The sequence below is a fragment of the Homo sapiens genome, chromosome 5 (assembly GCF_000001405.40).
Source record: "Homo sapiens chromosome 5, GRCh38.p14 Primary Assembly".
NCBI lineage: Eukaryota > Metazoa > Chordata > Mammalia > Primates > Hominidae > Homo > Homo sapiens.
In genome coordinates, this window is record NC_000005.10 from 131,449,228 (window position 1) to 131,471,009 (window position 21,782).

The 21,782-nt window shown below is 36.2% G+C and overlaps 1 protein-coding gene across 6 annotated transcripts in view; it reads right to left on the reverse strand.

The window, feature by feature from the left end:
- The window catches only part of RAPGEF6 (Rap guanine nucleotide exchange factor 6), a 211,309-nt gene that overhangs the window by 25,307 nt on the left and 164,220 nt on the right, over positions 1-21,782 (reverse strand). For 2 of the 6 annotated variants that reach the window (NM_001164388.2, NM_001164386.2), the window contains exons 18-22: positions 14,814-15,054; positions 12,478-12,861; positions 6,574-6,785; positions 3,827-3,950; positions 796-819 (exon numbers count right to left, since the gene is read on the reverse strand). In NM_001164388.2, the coding sequence (NP_001157860.1) occupies positions 796-819; positions 3,827-3,950; positions 6,574-6,785; positions 12,478-12,861; positions 14,814-15,054 (985 nt within the window). Of the gene's footprint in view, positions 1-795; positions 820-3,826; positions 3,951-6,573; positions 6,786-12,477; positions 12,862-14,385; positions 15,055-20,573; positions 20,589-21,782 lie in introns of those variants that run through there. The other 4 variants (NM_016340.6, NM_001164389.2, NM_001164387.2 and 1 more) reach the window with 3 other exon arrangements.

The window sequence follows — 21,782 nt, forward strand, 5'->3', positions numbered from 1 at the left end:
AGACACTTAGCTATGTAGAAGTAGAGACCTAACTCTATAACAAATAGTGTCAGTTGCTGATTCTATCACAACTTTAAAGATAAGGGAATCTTCAATTAAAGCTGGTAAAAATTTCAAATAAAATTCAGTCAATGCTACAAGTAAGTGGCATTAGTGGGTCTGAGGAAATAAAATCATCTTCTAGTTCAATTTTATAGTACAGCTTGGATAAGGGCTGCCTCTTTTTAGAAAACTGATGGAAAATGCAACCTTCACAAACATCTTTCATTCATTTTTATATATTTATATGATATATTTACTTTTATAAAATGTGGCATTTGAATAAAAGAAAGTGGTGTGAACTCTAGAACTAGACTACCTAGTTTTGGATCCACCATTAATGAACTAAAACTTTAGGCAACTCAACCTTTCCCATCCATACTATGGAAAGAAAAGTATCTCCTTTATAGGGTAGTAGTAGAATTAAGTAAGATAATTCGTTTAGAGTGCTTAGAACAATGTATGGCACATAGCAAGCACACAACAAATATTCACTATCATTATCATCATCTAACTGACCTAGCTAAATCAAAATCTAAAAAGGACTTATAGGGCATCAATAGTGGAAAAATAAAGGAAAAATAGCTAGTTCTATCACTACTTTCACCTTGTTAGCAGAAGGCATTTGTCAGGAATGTAGGCTGACAGGGTTAATAGAATTCATGCTATTTTATGTGCGTGCATTAATGAAAAGGATGCAATATATGTTAAGAGTCGCACAACCTTCATTCCAGTTGCGTTCATCTCTACACTTACCCCAGACTCCGCCACCTCTTCTTCCTGTAAGCAAGAGCCACAAACATTGAAGCATGTGTTTGAATAGGAAAGCACAGAAAAAAGACAACAGTTGAGAGTCAGAGAAACTATGCAGACAGAAAAGAACAGAAACATTTTATCAGGAAAAAATTACAGCTTAACAGTAAAATGACTTTAAATGGAAGGCAGGAGGGTAAGATGAGTATATACTGAAGGTCAAAAAAGCTCCAAAATACTTTATAAAAATATGCTTTAGACCAATTATATTTTAAATACCTAATTCATCAGGAAGCTTATATAAATAAGAAGCTTAAGGAAAAACATTTACTTACTATAATATAAATTTTGAATTCAAAGTTTTTAAGGGAAAAGACCTTAAAGGAATAGAATTTCTGAACATCTTGCTGGCAAGATTTTTGGGCCACTCATTTAAGTGACAGAATGAAATTACAAGGGACATAAAAACATAAAATTTCATTTTTAAGTGCAGAAATTTCTGACAAGATGTCTTGTAAGAAATGTTGACCAGCAAATCCAACTTAAAATGTAAGAAAAAACATATCATTAAAATCTTCATAATACTATATATCTTTACATTCCTGTTTGATTGACTAAAGATTCTATTTTTTAAGTCTGCAAATTGATTACTGTTAAAAGGGGTTACTTTGTCCAAACTAGATACTCATACACCACCAAAATGGACATTGTTTGCTTAAAGAAAGGTATTACATTTTAGCACTGGCTGACAAAACTGATTCAGGAAAAATTCAGTCCAATCTTTAAAAAAGATGTTTTTTATTTTCCCCCAATACCTTATTGTATTCAATCCAGGCCATTCCCAAGAAAACAGCCATGTTTATTAATTTCCTCATCAGTTTTTCTCCTTTGCTCATTACTGAAGTATGGCTAGTACTTAGTATATTATAAACTGGTCTGGCAGGGTCACAAATTCATCATGTCTTCAGGAATCAGGATGTTAACATGTGTAAGTAAATAGAGGTCCACATAAGCCAATAGAGAGTGTTAGGGTCATTGTACAAGGACATACAACAAAAAACCAAACAAACCCTTCTTTGCTTTGGTACCTAGTTCTTACTATTTTCTGCTTCCACACTGTTAAGCAATGACATCATTCATTACATGTAGTGATTTTCAAGGTGCAGAAGTGGGATGTGCAGGAAAGAGGAGATCTGGCACACTCTCCCTTCCTTCCATGCTTTGTGGATCTCTAAACCAGAGAAACCATCAGATCAACTACTTGCAAAAACAAAGACACCTAGGCCGGGTGCAGTGGCTCACGCCTGTAATCCCAGCACTTTGGCAGGCTGAGGCATGTGAATTGCTTGAGTCCAGGAGTTCAAGACCAGCCTGGGCAACATGGTGAAACCCTATCTCTACTGGAAAAAAAAAAAAAAAATTAGCTGGACATGGTGGCATGCACCTGTAGCCCCAGTTACTTGGGAGGCTGAGGTGGGAGGATCACCTGAACCCGGGAGGTTGAGGCTGCAGTGAGCCAAGACACCACCACTGCACTTCGGCCTGGGCAACCAGAGTGAGAGACCCTGTCTCAAAAACAAAGATCCCTAAACAACAATTTAAAGAAAACAAATAAAAAAAAACCCAGTGTATCACTGGTTCTATTGGGTTACGAAAATTCCAACTCTGGCTTTTAAAATATTGTGTTGGTGTAAAAGTAATGGCAAAAATCACAAATACTTTTGCACCAACCTAATACCAAGTATTTTTGTTTCCTTAGCACAGTATATTTTTTTAAGCCATAGAAATTGTGTCGGCCCCTGTACATGATTTCATTTTTAATGTCCCTGTGAACTGAAGCTATACACATAGGCCCAAAAGGAAATCAGATCAAAAATTAAAACCACAATGTCTTATTTACACCCTGAAAATTATAAAAATTACTAGGAATAGGCCAGGCGCGGTGGCTCACGCCTATAATCCCAGCACTTTGGGAGGCCGAGGCGGGCGGATCACGAGGTCAGGAGATCGAGACCACGGTGAAACCTTGTCTCTACTAAAAATACAAAAAATTAGCCGGGCGTAGTGGCAGGCGCCTGTTGTTCCAGCTACTCAGGAGGCTGAGGCAGGAGAATGGCGTGAACCCGGGAGGCGGAGCTTGCAGTGAGCCGAGATTGCGCCTCTGCACTCCAGCCTGGGCGACAGAGCGAGACTCCGTCTCAAAAAAAAAAAAAAATTACTAGGAATACTTAACAACATACTTTGTTTCAATTTTATGTAAGCTGAGGAAGCCTTTGTTATTACATTAAAAATGAACCTTAAAAAGCATTCTTAAAATATCAGGTTAATACAGAACACAATAAAATTTTTCATTTTTAGTAAAGTATGATTAAATTTGCACTTTCTAAATTCTGTTCATTTGTATGTAATAAAAACTTATATACAAATGAAACACAGTATAATTTGAGAAAAAGAAAAATGGTTTACAGGAATGAAGTATGAATTAAACAGAAACAGAACATTAAAAATATTCAGTAAAAATAAAAGACATAGACTAATACTTTACAAATTAGCTTAGAAACGAGATGAAAACAAGATGAATATCAGCAATTTTATTGTATTTGTTTGCTGATTTTTTTTTTTTTTTTTAGTAGAGACAGGGTTTCACCTTGTTAGCTAGGATGGTCTCGATCTCCTGACCTTGTGATCCGCCTGCCTCGGCCTCCCAAAGTGCTGGGATTACAGGCGTGAGCCACTGCGCCCGGCCTGCTGATGTTTTAAAGAACAATAATACAGAACTATCCACATACAAATATTTGCAAATTATGTAAAAACTGCTCTGAGCTTCATTCAGTTTCTTAATATGTATAACGAAGGCTAATATCACCTACCTGTTATGGTTATTAATGATAAATGATTACATGAAACGGACACATATAAAGCACTTTGTACAGCACACATGGTAGAATAAATATGATCAATAAATGATAAATATTTTAATTATTACATCACCCTTGATACCACTCTAACACTTTTACATATTTCAATGTCCTACCTCTGTCGAAACATCATAGCTGGGTCCATGTTAGCAGAAGTCATTCGAACAACTTGGCGGATTTCCTTGGAAATCATTCTTAACTTCTCAAAGTTTACTAAACCATCTACTTTGGAGTCATTTCCTATAGAATGAAAATAAATGTTTAAGTTCAAAATTAAATTATCTACATAAAAGTAGCAAAAGTCAAGCTGGTAATCTTGAGGGGCACAAAGAAGGACCTTCTTTATCACAGTGCCAATTTTGCTTTTAAGAACTGGTATACCCATACATGGTTCAACCCTGCTCTTAGGGAATGAGCCACTAGGAACTGTGTTCCATATAGGAGTGATGGTTATGAATAAAGTCAAATGATAAACTGTGCATGGCTTCTAAAACCAGTTTCATGGGCTCGGGGCACAATGGCTCCCACTTGTAATCCCAGCACTTTGGAAGGCCGAGGCAGGAGGATTGCCTGAGCTCAGGAGTTTGAGGCTGCAATGAGCCATGACTGTGCCACTACACTTCAGCCTGGGCAACAGAGTGAGATCTCAACTCAAAAAAATCCACAAAAAAACAAAACAAAACAAAAATCCCAAACAAAGGGCAACCTGTTTATAGCATTGTTTTTTCACACTTGTCTATAACATAGCATGACCCCATTTATCCCCCGAGGTAGACCCTGAGGTCTGTCAAAGTCCAAGGCCCTGAAGGCAAGACTGAGGAACATACGGTAAACAGCACGTATAGATTGGACACATGAATTGTTCAGGGTCTCAACACAAGCTGGAAACAAAGTAATCATGACGAATACTCTCAAGTTATATAAACATATTTCAAGGAACATGTCAGAAAAACATATCTGAAGCCTGTAACATTTCCTTATGAAAACTGAGTGATAATGAAAGAAGAGGCAGTAAGACTACATAATTAGAACAACACTTCTGGTGAGATCAGAAAAGCTGGACAAAAGTACAAAAAAATGCAGAGAAGCAAGTTTTGCATTTCCCAGTGCTTGCCCCTAGGTGTATCTGATTTCAGAAAGGGATAATGAGCTGAAAAACCGAGTACAGACACCCTGTCTTTTGAGGTAAAAGGAAAAGCAACTTAAGTCCTTGTAAACCTCCAATGCTTGGTTGAAACTCTGAAGAGCTATATCCTGAGACCAAGGATAAACTGAATGTAGACTGGGATAAAAGTCTTTTGTTAAATTACATCAAAACGGATTAAAGTGATTTTGGAATTCTAGCACCCCTAACTGCCTGCCAGAAGCAAACTTTAATCCTCTCTGGAGATATGGAACATCATTCAAAAAGCGAGATTATTTCTGTAATCTCACTTTTCAATAATAACCAGGCACATCAGGAGAAAACATAACATGACAGAAATGAAAGAGTAAAAAGGAGAAAACAGATTAAGACCCAAAGGGGATCCAGATTATGGAATTATTAGAGGCAGACTTTGAAATAACGATGTTGAATATGTTCAAAGACAAGAAAAAACAATGAGAACTCTGGAAAAGAACATTAAACTAAAAAAAGAAAAAGGAAGCTGTAAAACAAACAAAAATAATAACTGGAATTAGGACATCAGTAATGAACTTACCAGAAATGAGACATAGTTGGAGAGAGAATAAAAGATAAAATTACTGAGAATTTTCCCAAACTGATGAAAAGTACAAAACCATAGGTTTCAAGGTGTCCTACAGACACCAATCGGAATAAGAAACAAAAACAAAACCCCACACTTAGTCATATTAAGCAAAACTAGAAAGAAATTAAGAAAAAACAAAATCTTAACAGCCAGTATCAAACAAAGGCAGATTACAGTTAAAGCAACAGCAAATAAAACTGTAAGCTAACTTCTCAACATTAACAGTGGAAGGCACAGAACAATGGAATGTCATTTCAAAGTGTTTGAAGAAGATAGCTGCCAACCAAAAATCCTCTGAAAATGAAGTAAAGGCATTTTCAGATAAACAAAAATTAAGAGATATTCATCACCAGCAAACCTGCACTTAAGGAGAATACTAAACAGTGTTCTATAAGGCCGAAAAACTATGCCCAGCAATACGGAAGCTCTGAAATGCAAGAATGAATAAAAAATAGTAGTAACAACAACAAAAGTAAATATACAGGCAAGGTTAAATACTGACTTTATTAAGCAACAATATCTTGTGTTAAAAGCACAGCAACAACTGCATGAAAATCAGGAGATGAGCAAATGGAATTGTTTTTTATTTTTGAGACAGAGTCTCGCTCTGTCGCCCAGGCTGGAGTGCAGTGGCGCCATCTAGGCTCACTGTAAGCTCCGCCTCCCGGGCTCCTGCCATTCTCCTGCCTCAGCCTCCCAAGTAGCTGGAACTACAGGCGGCCGCCACCACCCCCGGCTAATCTTTTGTTATTTTTAGTAGAGATGGGTTTCACCATGTTAGCCAGGATGGTCTTGATCTCCCAACCTCATGATCCACCTGCCTAGGCCTTCCAAAGTTCTGGGATTACAGGCGTGAGCCACCGCGTCCAGCTGAGCAAATGGAATTTAAGTGGTCTAAGTTCCTTGCATTATCTGACACAGAAAAAAGTACTAATAAATATTAAACTAATTAACAAATATGTATGGTATGACATCTAATTCAACACTAGAAAAATGGTAAAATAGTGTATAGTTACCAAATTAATAGAATAGGAAATATACCATACACAAAAATCAATTCAGGTAGACTTTAGATAAACCATGTGGTAAAACATCAATAAATAATGTTTTCATACCTTCATGTAGAAATGTCATATCTTTCTTGACAACAGGGAAGAGTGGAATAATTGGAGGCTGCATACTTTGACTACTAAGAATATTTCTATACTTTGCCATGTTTCTAGATGGATCAAAAATGTCTTGTAGATCTTGAAGATGTTTCTCGTATTTGCTTGGTAACTTTTCCCAAGTTCCTCTGAGTCTTGCTACAGATGCCAGGTTCAAGCCACTGCCAAAGATGAGAATAGAAACATTAAAAAGAAACTTGGGGAAAGGGGTGGACTCAGGTCAGCATATACACCATTTTCTCTAATAAAAGTAAAAATAAGCAGGGACATATTTTAACACATTGAAATAAACAAGAGAAAAACTGAGAAAAAAATAAATAAGAGACTCCCTGATCTTACAAGAACTTCTTTCAAACTATAATGCTTGCCTATAGTTCTATACCTACATAGCATTTATTTTACAGTTTCATTTAAGTGACAGAATAATTCCATAAAATATACATTTAAATTAAAAAAAACTTCAAGCATCACAATGTTGCTTGTTTTACTTAGAAATAACTTTATGGAGACATTACCTATTTTAAAGCGGTTTAAGTAATGCTGAGAACAACTGTTAAATAATAACTGGAGCTAATTCTGCACCTTAGGAAGCCTTTTTTTTCCTGCGATTTTGTTCACTCACATCCCTGATTCCAATACATCCATATTCCTAGGTTCTAATCCTGTTCACTAAGCCTCCAGATATTCAATGTCTCCCTTCCACAGGATTTTAAATAGGCTCAGATATTCCCTAACTTGAAAACATAATTCATGCCAGTTAGGCTGCAAGTCTTTATGAATCCTTTACCTCTACAGTACCATCACATAGGTAGGTTGCCAAATGAATAGTGTATATACAATGCCTCAATTTTCTTATCAGCAAATCCTGTTTCTCAGCCATCTGACTTTTACCAACACCACTGTAAAATGTTCTCCTGATTTCTGACTTTAAGGCATGGAGTTAGGTATCTTTGTTCCCTTTTGCTTCTCAGAAATTTCCCCAAACCACTGTAAGAAGGATGAGTAACCAATACAAATTTCATATCCACCAAAACTAAGATAACAAACTCCTCAACACACTAGAAAGGTTGTCAAAAAATAGTCGAGGTCAAACAGGAGTAAGCAAAGCTGATGACAAATAATGTCTGCAGCTGAAGATACCAATGAAAGCTGACAAACAGTTCTCCAAAGCAGAACTCTTTCTGCCCTGAGGTTAAAAACAACAATCCTTTATTTTATTTATTTATTTGAGACACAGTCTTGCTCTGTTGCCCAGGCTGGAGTGCGGTGGTGCGATCTCAGCTCACTGCAACCTCTGCCTCCCAGGGTCAAGTGATTCTTGTGCATCAACCTCCTGAGTAGCTGGGATTACAGGAATTACAGGTGTGTACCACAATGCCTGGCTAATTTTTATATTTTTAGTACAGACAGGGTTTCACCATGTTGGCCAGGCTGGTCTTGAATTCCTGAGCTCAAGTAATCTGCCTGCCTTGGCTTCCCAAAGTGCTGAGATTACAGGCATGAGCCACCATGCCAAGCCAACAATCCTTTATTTGGCATAGCACACAGTGATACACTTTGGTACAAATCTGTTTGAGACAGGAGAGAAGGGAGACACTCTGAGTTGTAAGCAGCCCTAATGCTGCCACAATCTCCATTTACTAAGAAAAAGTAAAGGATAAAACAATTCACATACAAGGCTAACTCCTGCTACCGTGGAATACTGCTGCATGGATCCACTTATATGCAGATTTTTTTCAATAAATTCAGTCACCCCTCCGTATCTGAGTGTTCCACATTCACAACCAAATGTGGATCAAAAATACAGTTTCCTTGGATGTGAAACCTGCTAATGCTGACTTTATGTATCCACAAGTTCCTCAGGGTCAACTGCAGGACTTGAGTATGTGAGGATTTTGCTATCTGTGAGGAGCCATGGAACGAATGCCCCACAGATACTGAGGGACAATGGTATCATTTAATATGAAGCACCAGCAGATGAAAATAGACAAAATAGAGAAATAGTTATTAATAAATGGAATGAGAGATGTAAAGTTATCATCAGTTGAAGAAAATTAGATTGTTTAACTCAAAACTCCCAAAATATTAACTGAAAATTATTAGAAGCATGAAGAATGCAGTAAGGTACTAGGTACAACACTGATATTCATATGCATTAGAATACTTAGGCAGAAACCATTAGAAAACTTAAGGATCCCATTCATAATATAAGGATCCCATTCACAACAGCAATAAAAGATATTAAACATTCAAACAAATGTTCAAGATTTACATGAACACCACTATAAAAACTGATATGGTTTGGTTCTGTGTCCCCACCCAAATTTCACGTGGAATTGTAATCCCCACATGTCAGGGGAAGGACGCAGTGGGAGGTGACTGGGTCATGGAGGCAGATTTCCCCTACGCTGTTCTCATGATAATCAGTGAGTTCTCAAGAGATCTGATGGTTTAAAAGTGTGGCACTTCCCCCCTCACTCTCTCTCTCTCTGCTGCCATGTAAGACACGCCATGTTTGCCCTTCGCCTTCCACTATGATAGTAAGTTTCCTAAGGCCTCCCCAGACATGGGGAACTGTGAGTTAATTAAACCTCTTTTCTTTATAAATTACACAGTCTCAGGTATTTCTATACAGCAGTGTGAAAACAGACTAATAAAACAACTCCACAGAGGAAATAAAAGAAAACTGAAACAAGTGGAATAAGTGTTCTTGGATGGCAAGAGCCATTGTTACAAAGCTATCAAATGTCCACTAAAGTAATCTAGGTATTTAATGTAATCTCAATGAAAACATCAACAGAACTTTTTCTTTTCTTTTTTGAGACAGAGTCTTGCTCTGTCACCCAGGCTGGAGTGCAGTGGCATGATCTTGGCTTACTGCAACCTCCACCTCCTGGGTTCAAGTGATTCTCCTGCCTCAGCCTCCTGAGTAGCTGGGATTACAAGCATGTGCCACCATACCTGGCTAATTTTTTTGTATTTTTAGTAGAGATGGGGTTTCACCATGTTGGTCAGGCTGGTCTAGAACTCCTGAACTTGTGATCCACCTGCATTGGCCTCCAAAGTGCCAGGATCACAGGCGTGAGCCACCGCGCCCAGACATCAACAAAACTTTTTAAAAGAACTACATAAATTGATTCTAAAGTTGATATGAAACAAATAAACATGCCAGAAATAGCCAAAGAAAAGTATGAAGAGAGTCATAAGGGGTTTGACTAGCCCTATCAGACCTTAAAACCTATTTTACCACTTCAGCAACTAAAACAGTAAATGAATAGACAAATCAATGAAGCAATGAGTGCAGACATAAACCCAAATATGTGTTAGATTTCAGTACATAATAGATGGCATTGCATATTTTAGAAAAAAAGATTGATTAATGATGTTGGGTGAAGAAGTCATTTGGAACAAAGAAAGATATATTTCTTTATCTCACTGTTTACATAAAAATGAATTCAAGATTAATAAAAAATGTTGTCTAGGGTGTTCTAAGAGCTCTCATTGTATTAGCTCATTGAATACTCTTAACCTTATTAGGTAGGAACTACCAGGATTTCCCATTTGACAAATGAGGAAACTTAGTTCACATAGACAACAAGTGCCAACACTGGATTCAAACCTAGGCAATTCTTTGTTCTTAACTAACCACAAAATGCAGAAACTCCAGCAGGAAAAAAAATAATACATCTACATAAAAATAAAAAAATTTCTACATGGCAAAAGTAAACACCACACACTGTTTTAAATAGCCAAAGTCTGGAAATTTAGAAATATCCATAATGTGCACTCCACAATACAAAGGAGTACTTCATAGTTGTTTAAAAAATATGAGACAACTTTATAAGAACTGATTTTAAATAATCTCCAAGATAAATTAAAAAAATTAGCCAAGGTGGTTTTAAATATATATTTATATGCTTGCTATATGGATAGAGTATTTCTTGAATGAAAAAAGGTAACAGTATCTCTGGGGAGAGGAATTTGGGTGGATTAGGGACTGGGTGAGACAAAGTTACTTTCGCTGTGTACTCTTTATCTTTAAAATTTTTTCCATGTACATGTCATGTCTATTCAAAAAGTTAAAATTATTTTATAATTATAAAAAGTTGTTAATTATAGCCAGAACAGAATGATTCACCTTTGCCATCTCTGCTGAAAAGAGTATATTCTTTGATCTACCTGAACATGAAGTACAAGAATACAAAACAATTATCTTAAAAAGAATACAAAAGAAACAAAGCAATGATCTTTACATGAGCTATGAAAATGTGCAGAACAAATATTCTTTGTAACAAAACAAATCTTTTAACCAAACAAAGCCTCTTAACCAAATCTCAGCCCTTTCCTATCCACTCCCTTCTTTGGGCTACTGTCCATCACATCTTCTCTCAAATCACTCTCTTTCATTGGCTTTGATGACACTATCATAACTGTGCTACTCTGTTTCTTGTACTGATCCTCCATCTCTTTGGCTAGACTCTTTTTCCTTACCCTCACACTGAGTCATCATACTAAGGTATGGTTTTTAGACCTCTACCACTTTCTTTCTACCCTCTTTTTTATACAGAGATCTATTCTCTCAGTGTCAATCAATTTTCTTCATAGTGGACTCTAAAACTGAGCCCGTAATTTTCAAATTCTTTACTTGATGCTTCCTTTACAAACAGGTTCCATTTCTAGCCTTCCAAGTGTTTATCAGTGGCATCTTTATTCCTCTGTTTTAGACTTAGCTGTTTAAAAACTGTGATATAGGTGGTATTTTACAGATAAGAAAACCTATCTTCAGTTTTCCACTGACACATTGCTACTATATGGGAGAGGCAGGATTCAAATACAGGTGCAGCTGATTCTAAAGACCACTCTGTTAATCTCTATTCAATACTCCTAGAGTGTTCAGTTCAGTTGTAGACACTGGTTAATTTAATAAAGGCACATCCTATTACCATGACAGGGTCATGAATAAAGAGTCCCTATAAAGATTCTACTTTTTAATCTTAATCTACATGAGGAGTAGAAACAAATCATTATGAATTCTGTGGGGGATGTGTATAGGTAGGATTAGTTCAAGTGGAATTATGCTGCGATTTATAAGCACATCATGGCCTTAAAAATGGAGCTAACTACAACTCCTCTCCCTTTTAAAATTAAACTTGTTTTAAGAAGAATCCCTTTGTTGATCTACAGTGTGCTAAATAAAGATCAGAAAATAAATTACCTACAATTAACTTTTCATAATAAGTGGGAAGAAGGGAGTGGGAGAGCTCACGTAATTATCTACACTTCCTGGGCTTATGAATGTCAAAACATTTTTATTATTCTAACAGCCTAACTTGCTTGAGGAACACCACATCCAGTGAACCTCATGTAGTGCCTGGCAAACAGGAAGAGCTTACCAAATGGTTGCCATTATTATCAATGTTGTTGTTTCAAAATAGCAACTTTAGGTCAAAGTACTGATACCATACTGTGATTTTTCAGAGTCAAATCATAGTGAGGCAGGTACTTAAAAAAGCACAGTACAGAAGTCTAATGATAAAGACCAGCCACTGGGCACATATCCAAAGATGATATAATCACTCAAGGCGGGGGGTTGGAGATGAAGGGAGAGAAAGAAAAATTAGAAGGCAATCACCCACTTTCATTTACAAAAAAGAAGTAAAAGAAAGATGGAAGAAACAAAAATAGAAAAAGCCAATACCACCAAAATGGAAAATACATTAAATCTAACAACACTTCAATAAAGGCATATTAATTGAACATTTCTTTTCATAGGCATTGAATACCTAAGTAGAAAATCAGCTGCATGTAATGACAAAACCATACAGACATTTGTACCTATTTGTACCAACTTACCTTATTATTGCAAACATGGAATTGAAGTTCTTACATTCTCGACAATGAAGTGCAATTTTAATAAAATGCTTAATAATCTTCATTCGTTTGAGCTGATTTGCTTCAGTTAAAATTTCTGAGGCAACCCAGAATGTCTCTTGGTTTACAATGTCCTCAAACCTCTTCAAATGAGTATTTCCTGTTTTGGAATTTAACTTAAAAAGGTCATCGATGTACTCAGTCGGTTCAATATTACGAAACAAATCAAAGTCCCTCATTGACAGCTGGGTGGCCACCTCAATGGTACTGAGCTGCAGCATGGATAGCTGGCTTTCCTTAACTAGTTCTTGAGCATCTTCATCTGAACATAAGGTTTCTGTTTCCATGTTATTTTTTAAGTAATACCTAAATGGAAAAATTTTTTTAAATAAATGTATTCATAAATATGATTAAATAAGAGCACTTTTCCTTTTTGTCGTTGTAAAATATCATTTTACTGTTAATAACTTTTAGCCAAAAATATTAATTTACAGATAAAATGAAAAGTTAACATTTTAAATGAAAAGATTTTTGAGAAGTCTGTCTCTTATTCTACCAACTGGCATCTATTAAAGAGTAAAAATAATGTTGTTATGTCATGAACTTAATTATTTTATGAAACTATCTGTCAGATACTATTTTAGGTACTGGCCTTGCCCTCGTAAAGCTTTTATCTTACTGTTTTATCTGACAGAGGATTGGTACTATGTAAATATTTGTTTATGAATAGCATGAATTCTAATTAAGGCAAAATAAATTCCTGAATCAAGACGGTTAAAAATCTCTATTCAGAAGTTACTCCACTCACTTCCTTTTTAAATAAATTTCCAAGTGAAGCAAGAGGAATGAAATCTACAGAGGAGGGGAAACACTTCCACTAATGGTTTCTCCCTTGTTAAATACAAAACCTCATTCCAGCAAGTGGCACTTATCAGTTACCACACATTAAGACCTATATTTTGCTTTCTTCTCTTAAATCAACAATTCTACAGCACTTAAAAGTAAGAGACAGGAAACATCTTGTGCAGGGATGTTACTAAGGAAACGAGGTAATGTATCACCTGCTTTTACTTCGTTCTTTTCTAATAATCCAACTTGATTTAAGCCTAAGTTTGTATCCATCTATCCATCTATTTTTTACTGTCAAGAAACTCTTTTTTCTGCTTTTAGACTGTTCATATGCCTAAGACAATGCCATAAATAATAGTGCTGAAACTCATTATGCTATATATAATAATGTTTAACATTATAAGGTATGGTATACTTAGTAACTCATTTAATCCTTACAACATTCCCATGAGGTATATTCTACTATTACTATCCTCATTTTATGGGTGAGGAAATTCAGGTAGAGAAGCTACATATGACTTGCTCAAGGTCACATAGCCAGAGCTGGGATTTGAATGTGGGCAATCTGAATCCAGGGTCTATGCTCTTAACCACTATGTACAGCCAGCAAAACAGAGTTAACTCATTCTCATTTCACAGCAACCATGGCATGCAGTCACTGTAAGCTTTCTAGGGATCTTGTTCTACATATGAAACTGGGTTACCAAAAAGATTATTCTCAGAGTGGTTGAGTGTGGTAGCTCACACTCGTAATGCCAGCACTTTGGGAGGCTGAGGCAGGCAGATCACTTGAGGTAAGGAGTTTGAGACCAGCCTGGCCAACACGGTGAAACCTCGTCTCTACTAAAAATACAAAAATTCGCCAGGCATGGTGGCATGTGCCTGTAGTCCCAGCTACTCAGAAGGCTGAGGCAGGAGAACCGCTTGAACCTGGGAGGTGGAGGTTGCAGTGAGCTGAGATCGCGCCACTGCACTCCAGCCTGGGCGACAGAGGGAGACTCCATCTCAAAAAAAAAAAAAAAAACCAGAGTAAGGAACAAATGTACTACAGAAATAATCTAGTTTATTAAATAATTTTCAGAACACATTTTAAAATTTTTAAAATTTTCCTGCATATTCATTAAAGGAAAACTACTTAGAAAAAGAACTGTGAAAACCATGGCTTCTTTTGCCAAAGTACATACTGGCCATATTAAAAACAAATTTATAAATTAGTAGATACAGTCATTCAGATATATATGAAGATTTGTATCATTCAGCTTCCTCTATAAAAAAACAGGAACTAGATTATATCAGTGGTTCTAAGAGTTTATTTTAGCAGGAGTGACAAGATATTTTATCAAGCGTCTTCTGGAGTGAATTTAGGAGCACTAAAACATGATAATGTTTCTACTTACAATAGCTGTTTTAACAGGAAATCTTCAAAAGCACATCTACAAATAAGCACATCCACTAATAAGCTTATTCACCTTCCATTGAGTTGAATTCTATCAGCTAATTTGGAGAACTGATCTGGAAGTCTTCTCTGTTTTATGACACCCTCAGGAGTAACAGAAACTTCACAGAGAGAATATGTGTCGGATGCACCGGTCAAACCAAATTCATGAACAGCATGAAAAACTACTTCTTTAGCTGTGGTGTCTTTACTGATGATAATGTAGCAACTTTGCTGATCCACTTTGAAAACTCTTATAACTTGATCAGGGATATCTACATAAATAGAAAGATATGCTTTGTTATTTTTTAAAAAAATCACTTTTAAACCCTTCAAAAAGCAACGTGAAACACAGTGATCCCTCTGAACACTGAAATATACATTTCTATTTCACAATATTAACAGAAGTCACTGTTGCATTTATTGATAAATATATCCTTTTTTTTTTTTCAGATAACAAATCATTGATAGAAAAACCCAAAAACAAAACTTGGGCTCATACTATATATATGGTTTGGAAGCCAGAATTTTTTCATTTAATATCTTATAAAACATTTTAATGCCATTATATTCTTCTACAAAACTATTTTTAATGAAGACATAGTACTCCATGATATGTATTTTATATATTTCAATTATCCAAACCCCTAATGACATTTAGATTGCTTACCACTTTCTATTATTATAAATGACATTATGATATGCCCCGTTACCCCCTGTCAAAAGTAAGTAAGCCTCTGCAGGCAATCTACTTCCTCCGTGAAAATTCTCAAAAACAGAATTGCTGAATTAGAAGGCACGCATACTTTTAAGGTTTTTGAAATATACTGCCAAACTGTTCTCCAGAGACGTTATAATATTTTATAATCCTAGAGTGTAAGGGAACAAATTTGGTCACATCCTTACAAAAATTGTATATTAATGTTTTGTTTTGCTTTCCCATTTCATAAGCCCTATTCTTTTCCTCCCTCCAAAAAAATATCATTATTTTTTCATTTCTTTGGTTACTGGTAAGACTCAGTAACTGATAATGGTTTAATGAACCATTATGTCTTTTTAAAAATATTTTTTGGTATCCCTTATGTTTTTTTCCTGCTGTATTGTAGTAGATAACAACACTTAGTCCAACTATGAAGTGGAAAATGTTAGTTTCCATATTTTATTTATTTGTAACACAAGAACATTTTAAATGTTCACCTGGTGAAATCTTAGTCTTTGCCCTTGTGATTTCTGCTATTAGTAGAAAAATTCTAATTTGAGACAATGTTTATATGATAAGCACATGTAAATAATAATATTCCACCCCCCCTTGTTCTATCTTATTTCTTTTTGTCATTATAGAACTCTGGACCAATGTTCAACATGATAAGCTAATATTTAATATAATTAAATTTAAGTGAAAAGTGACTTTATAGCATGAACAAATGCTAAAAATTTTCCCTATGACAATAAATTACTGTTGCAAAAGTTTCCTTTTTAAAAAAATTAGGAATACAGGCTGGGTATGACTCACACCTGTAATCCCAGGACTTTGGGAGGCCAAGGCTGGAAGATCACTTGAGCCCAGGAGTTCGAGACCAGCCTGGATATATAGCAAGACCCCATCTCTACAAAAAATTTTTAAAAATTAGCTGGGTGTGGTGGCACATTCTTGTAGTTCCAGCTACTCGGGAGGTGGAAGTGGGAGCATCACTTGAGCCTGGGAGGTTGAAGCTGCAGTGAGCTGAGATCATGCCACTGCACTCCACTCTGGGCAACAGAGTAAGACCCAGTCTCAAAAAAGAAAAAAAGAATTAGGGAATATATATTACTGTGGCTTTTTTGTATGTGTGTGATGACTGCAGTGGGGGCAGGATGGAAGATTTTGGGGGCTCAAGTAATTATACTGTTTGTCCAGCATCACCTTCTTAGCATTATGGACACTGTTAGCCTTTAGAGGAAAACAAAACAAAACAAAACAAATTACAAATTTATCTCAAAATGTCCTGAGGTATAATCCCTGGTTAAAAGGGAGAAATGGAACAGATACAGATATGGCAGGAAATATTTTCATAAAATAAATTTTTTGGTCCTCTTGAGACTGAGGACCAAAAAAAAAAAAAAAAAAAGACTTGCTCTGAGGACTGAAAGATTCAACTGAATATACATGAATATAATTCCAGGGACAAGGAGTCTTAGCCAACATATGTTGAATGTTCTGGGTCCTCTCAAGTTGAAAGTAGAATACTTCATCTACTCTGGTTCCTTCTGTAAGAAGGATGCATCAAACTCTCTTTCCTCAATGTATTAAGAAATCTGAGTCATCAAATGCATCTTGTTCAGATTTCATTCTGATGAGCCAATACTTAGTGGGCTGCTGACATCATCAGGTTTTTAAACCTACAAGACTTAAGGTCAGACTGTTTCAAGATCCATCAAAATCAGACATACTTCTTGAAAGGTTTGGCTGTGTCCCCAACCAAATCTCATCTTGAATTGTAACTCCCACAATTCCCACATGTCATGGGAGGGAGCCAGTGGGAGGTAACTGAATCATGGGGGTGAGTCTTTCTCATGCTGTTCTCACAATAGTGAACAAGTCTCACGAGATCTGATGGTTTTAAACAGAGGAGTTCCCCTGCACAAACTCTCTTTGCCTGCTGTCATCCAAGATGTGACTTGCTCCTCCTTGCTTTCTGCCATGATTGTGAGGCTTCCCCAGCCACGTGGAACTGCGAGTGCATTAAACCTCTTTCCTTTGTAAATTGTCCAGTCTTGGGTATGTCTTTATCAGCAGCATGAAAACGGACTAATATACCTCTCTACCCTGTGCTAGAAGATTATTGCAAACAAATGGAAATTTCAATTTGCCAAGAGAAATATACTGAACAAATGGGTTTCCACTATCTTTTTAAGTCCATAAAAAAGGAACCAACAATATACTGTTATTACCTGTACTGTTGCTACCCTCTTCATAAAAGTAGGTCCTAGCTGTCCTGGGCTCCAGAATTGAATCATTTTACTAGATCTTTGGGGGCTGAGCCTTAGCCAGTGGTACTGACTGACCTTGAGGGAATGGGGAGATGTTCTGATACCTTTTATTACTTTCTTCAGAGAAATTTATTCACAAAGACAGGGTGGGAATTTGTACACATTTCATGTTCTCTTCCCTTGCTGCCAATATACTGTAACATCTTCTGGGAAGGAGCACACAATTGTATATCTTGCTGCATAGTGTTACAAAGTCATACGTTGTTAAAGTGATTTGTCCATGTGAAGGACAAATTGTTATATGATCACATAAGATTGATTCAGGTATCACACATGGGTGCCTTTAGAACAGATTCATAAATGGGATTATCTAAAGGGTATCCCTTAATCCAAACTCTGATGAATCTGCCAAGGTAACAAATGTCAACTTGGAAAAGCAATGGAGAGCCATCAGAGGAAAATCTTTCTCTGCGTTAATATTAATGACAGTGTAAACCTCTATTTTAGAATTATTACGTATATATTACATACTATTCTTTACAAACATGTTTCTTGTTAGTAGGAAAACCACATACATGCCAAGCACAATATTTGGCATGCAGCAGACACTCAAATGTTAATCGCTTAGATGAATGGTCAATATGTTCGAATAAAGTTGAATCAAAAGGGAAAAAATGATCCAATCATTTCAAATTTTAGGCACAAATCTAAAATGCAGACAAAAATACAGTACAATTTTAAAGGCAAAACAGACATTTAAAAAGAATCTTGGAAGCCAGGGGCGGTAGTTCATGCTTATAATTCTAGCACTTTAGGGGGCTGAGGTGGGCAGACCACTTGAGCCCAGGAGATCAAAACCAGCCTGGGGAACATGGAGAAGCCCGCCTCCACAAAAATTACAAATATTATCTGGGCGTGGTGGTGTGTGCCTATAGGCCCAGCTACTCGGGAGTTTGAGGTGGGAGGATCACTTGGGCCCAGGAAGTAGAGGCTGCAGTGAGCCGAGATCATACTACTGCAGTCCAGCCTGGGTGACAGAGTGAGGCTCTGTCAAAAAAAAAAATCTTGGGGTCGGGCGCAGTGGCTTATGCCAGTAATTCCAGCACTTTGGGAGGCCGAGGTGGGCGGATCACGAGGTCAGGAGAATGAGACCATCCTGGCTAACACCGTGAAACCCCATCTCTACTAAAAAAAAATACAAAAAAATTAGCTGGGCGTGGTGGCGGGCACCTATAATCCCAGCTACTCGGGAGGCTGAGGCAGGAGAATGGCATGAACCCGGGAGGCGTAGCTTGCAGTGAGCCAAGATCGCGCCACTGCACTCCAGCCTGGGTGACAAAGCGAGACTCCATCTCAAAAAAAAAAAAAAAAAAAAAAATCTTGGAGGATCAAGGTTTGTATTTCATATGTAGAAATCTTATGTAATAGGTAAATAAATTAAATAGAAACCTGATATCTAGACTTTCAATCAGAGATGAAGTTTCTAGAGAGCTAATTTATAAATCTTACAGCGGTAAAATTAAAAAATGAATACTTGAAGGATGTATGTACTGACCCTGAGATTACACTAAAAATGGGAGAACTTTTAGGTATTTAAGATGATCTTTAAAAAAAAAGACTGACTTTTCATTCTGCTTTAAATTGTTAATTGTTGAATAAATATTTATGAAGTGCCTGTTATGTGTCAACAGGGTTCCAGGTGATGAAGCTACAGTGCTAAGTGAGACAGATTAAGCCTCCACTCTCAGGGAATTTACTTACATTCAAGTGAGTAAACACGAGCTCGACGAAAGACAAGACATTGAGTAAGGAAGAGAATTCATACAGCAAAAAGCGCCACACAAAAAAACAAAGGGTAGTGGTATATTAAGGATTGAAAAAATTGTTCTGCAAAGAGCCAGATAGTAAACATTTTAAGTTTTGCAGGTCAAATGGCAAAACACATATTTTTTAGGCACTTATATAATGAGAAAACAAATTCTCACAAAATAGTTTTTCAAAACTCAAAATATAATAATGCATACATAAAACAGGTAAAGATACGTGAACACAAAGATTAGGCAATACTGTAAATGTCTACTAATGGGGACTGCTTAAAAAAATTCTGTTAGCTGTTTAAAAATTTGTGGTAGAACAACACACCTTGAAACAGAAAAGTATTCAAAGGTATATTGCTAAAGTGAAACAGTTAAGTGGAAGAAAAGTAAAACATCTCATTTGGGGTGAAAGCAACAGCAGACACATTTTATGTGCAATGAAATTTCTGGAAGGATATACAAGTAAATAATAACTAAATTCTGAGGAGTGGAAACTTTTATATTCTATCTTATTCTGGCAGTTTAATTTTTTTAAAGCTATGACTGTGTTCCTTTATAATTAAAAACTAATAATAAAAAATTTTCAATGAAGAAAAAATTAAGTTTACTATATGAAATAAATCAATTAAGGGTTTGGGCTATTAAGTGAAAAGAAGTAAGCTGTAAGTTCTACATGCAGATATAGAAAAAAATTCCTTTTCAAATTTCTCTTAGCCACACTCCTAATTTTTTTTAGGACTCATTTTGTATTGAGTCAGAAATCCCAAAGAACATTTCAGAAGTTACAGAATAGCATGTATACTGATTCCATCCAAACTTAAAAACATATATATATTCAAAAAAATGACTAAAAAGACACATGCCAGTTAATACTGGCTACCTTCTAAGTGGAAAGAAAAGTTGTGCTTACTACTTCATTCAATTCTGTATCATTGGACTTTTAAAAAATAACAAAATAATACATACAAACAAGGGCAATAGAATACTACAGTCTTTAAGATACTTACAATAAAAACCAACAGCTGTATGCAGCAAAAATAAAGCAAAATCAAAGTAAGCAATCAAAAACAAACTTACAGTTCTGTAGCTTTGCCCCCACTTTCATTTTGATCTAGTAATAACTTTGAAAATGAAGGATAAATATAGGTAAGCTCAAGACCAATAAACATTAATCAAACTTGGCTGTTACACATGTCCTATAATATACATATGTGATGTACATGGCTCATTTAAATTTTTGTGTTGTATAAATTACATAAGAAGCTGAATTTGGAATTAACTGGGAATTGATGTTTTTTTCAATCCAAATATAAATAATATCCATCACTAGATAAAAAGCCTTTCACAAAATTACACATTTGGGGGTTTAAAAATATAAGTTAAATACCTATCATATATGTGTTCACATTACTGGTATAAGCACATGTTGCAGACTGAGACATATCAGATGTTCTCTGAACAGATTTTAAAAAGGCATCTTTATCTTTAGTCCTTTAAACATGTTCTCAAGGAGAGAATTATGTAATCAACTTGAAATCAAGTTAAGTAACACACCTTTTCTTTATAGGTCTGAATTTCAGCTCCATGGGGACTTAGTTTCTAAAACTTAATAATTTCAACCTCTTCTCTTTGTTCCTCCAGCTAAATCTCCAACTTACTTCTCTCTTGCCTCCTCCTACAACCCTATCCCTTATTCCCTCAGCCCCACATCCTACATATACCTATGGCAAACATACAGCCATATAAATTATTAAAACTACAAATCATAAGATCCCTAATACTTGTCTCATGAAAGCATATATTTAATTTGTGCTTTGGAAGTGTGAAGACACTTTATTTTTGAATGTTCTACGTAGTGTGAAAAGCACTGCTGTAAAACACACACACAGAGACAAAGAAATAAATTCCCATCCTGCCACATAGCAAACAATAGGAGAGACTGACTCTGTGGCAGAGGGAGGTGGGTTTCCCAGATGAGGTAACACTGGAGTTCAGCACTGACAAATAAAAAAGCTTACTGGACATGCAAGGAGAGGGCCATGGGTGGCAAACATGGGCAAAGAAAGGGCATTCTGAAAGTTCATTCCATACTCAGGAAGGAGGGTTGAAGTAATAGTGGGGAGAGAATGACAGAACAAGAGGCTAGAAAGGGGGTTCAGGTCAGCAACACTTCTTCTTCACCCTGGTAGTGACATTTCTTTTACGTGCCAAGAACT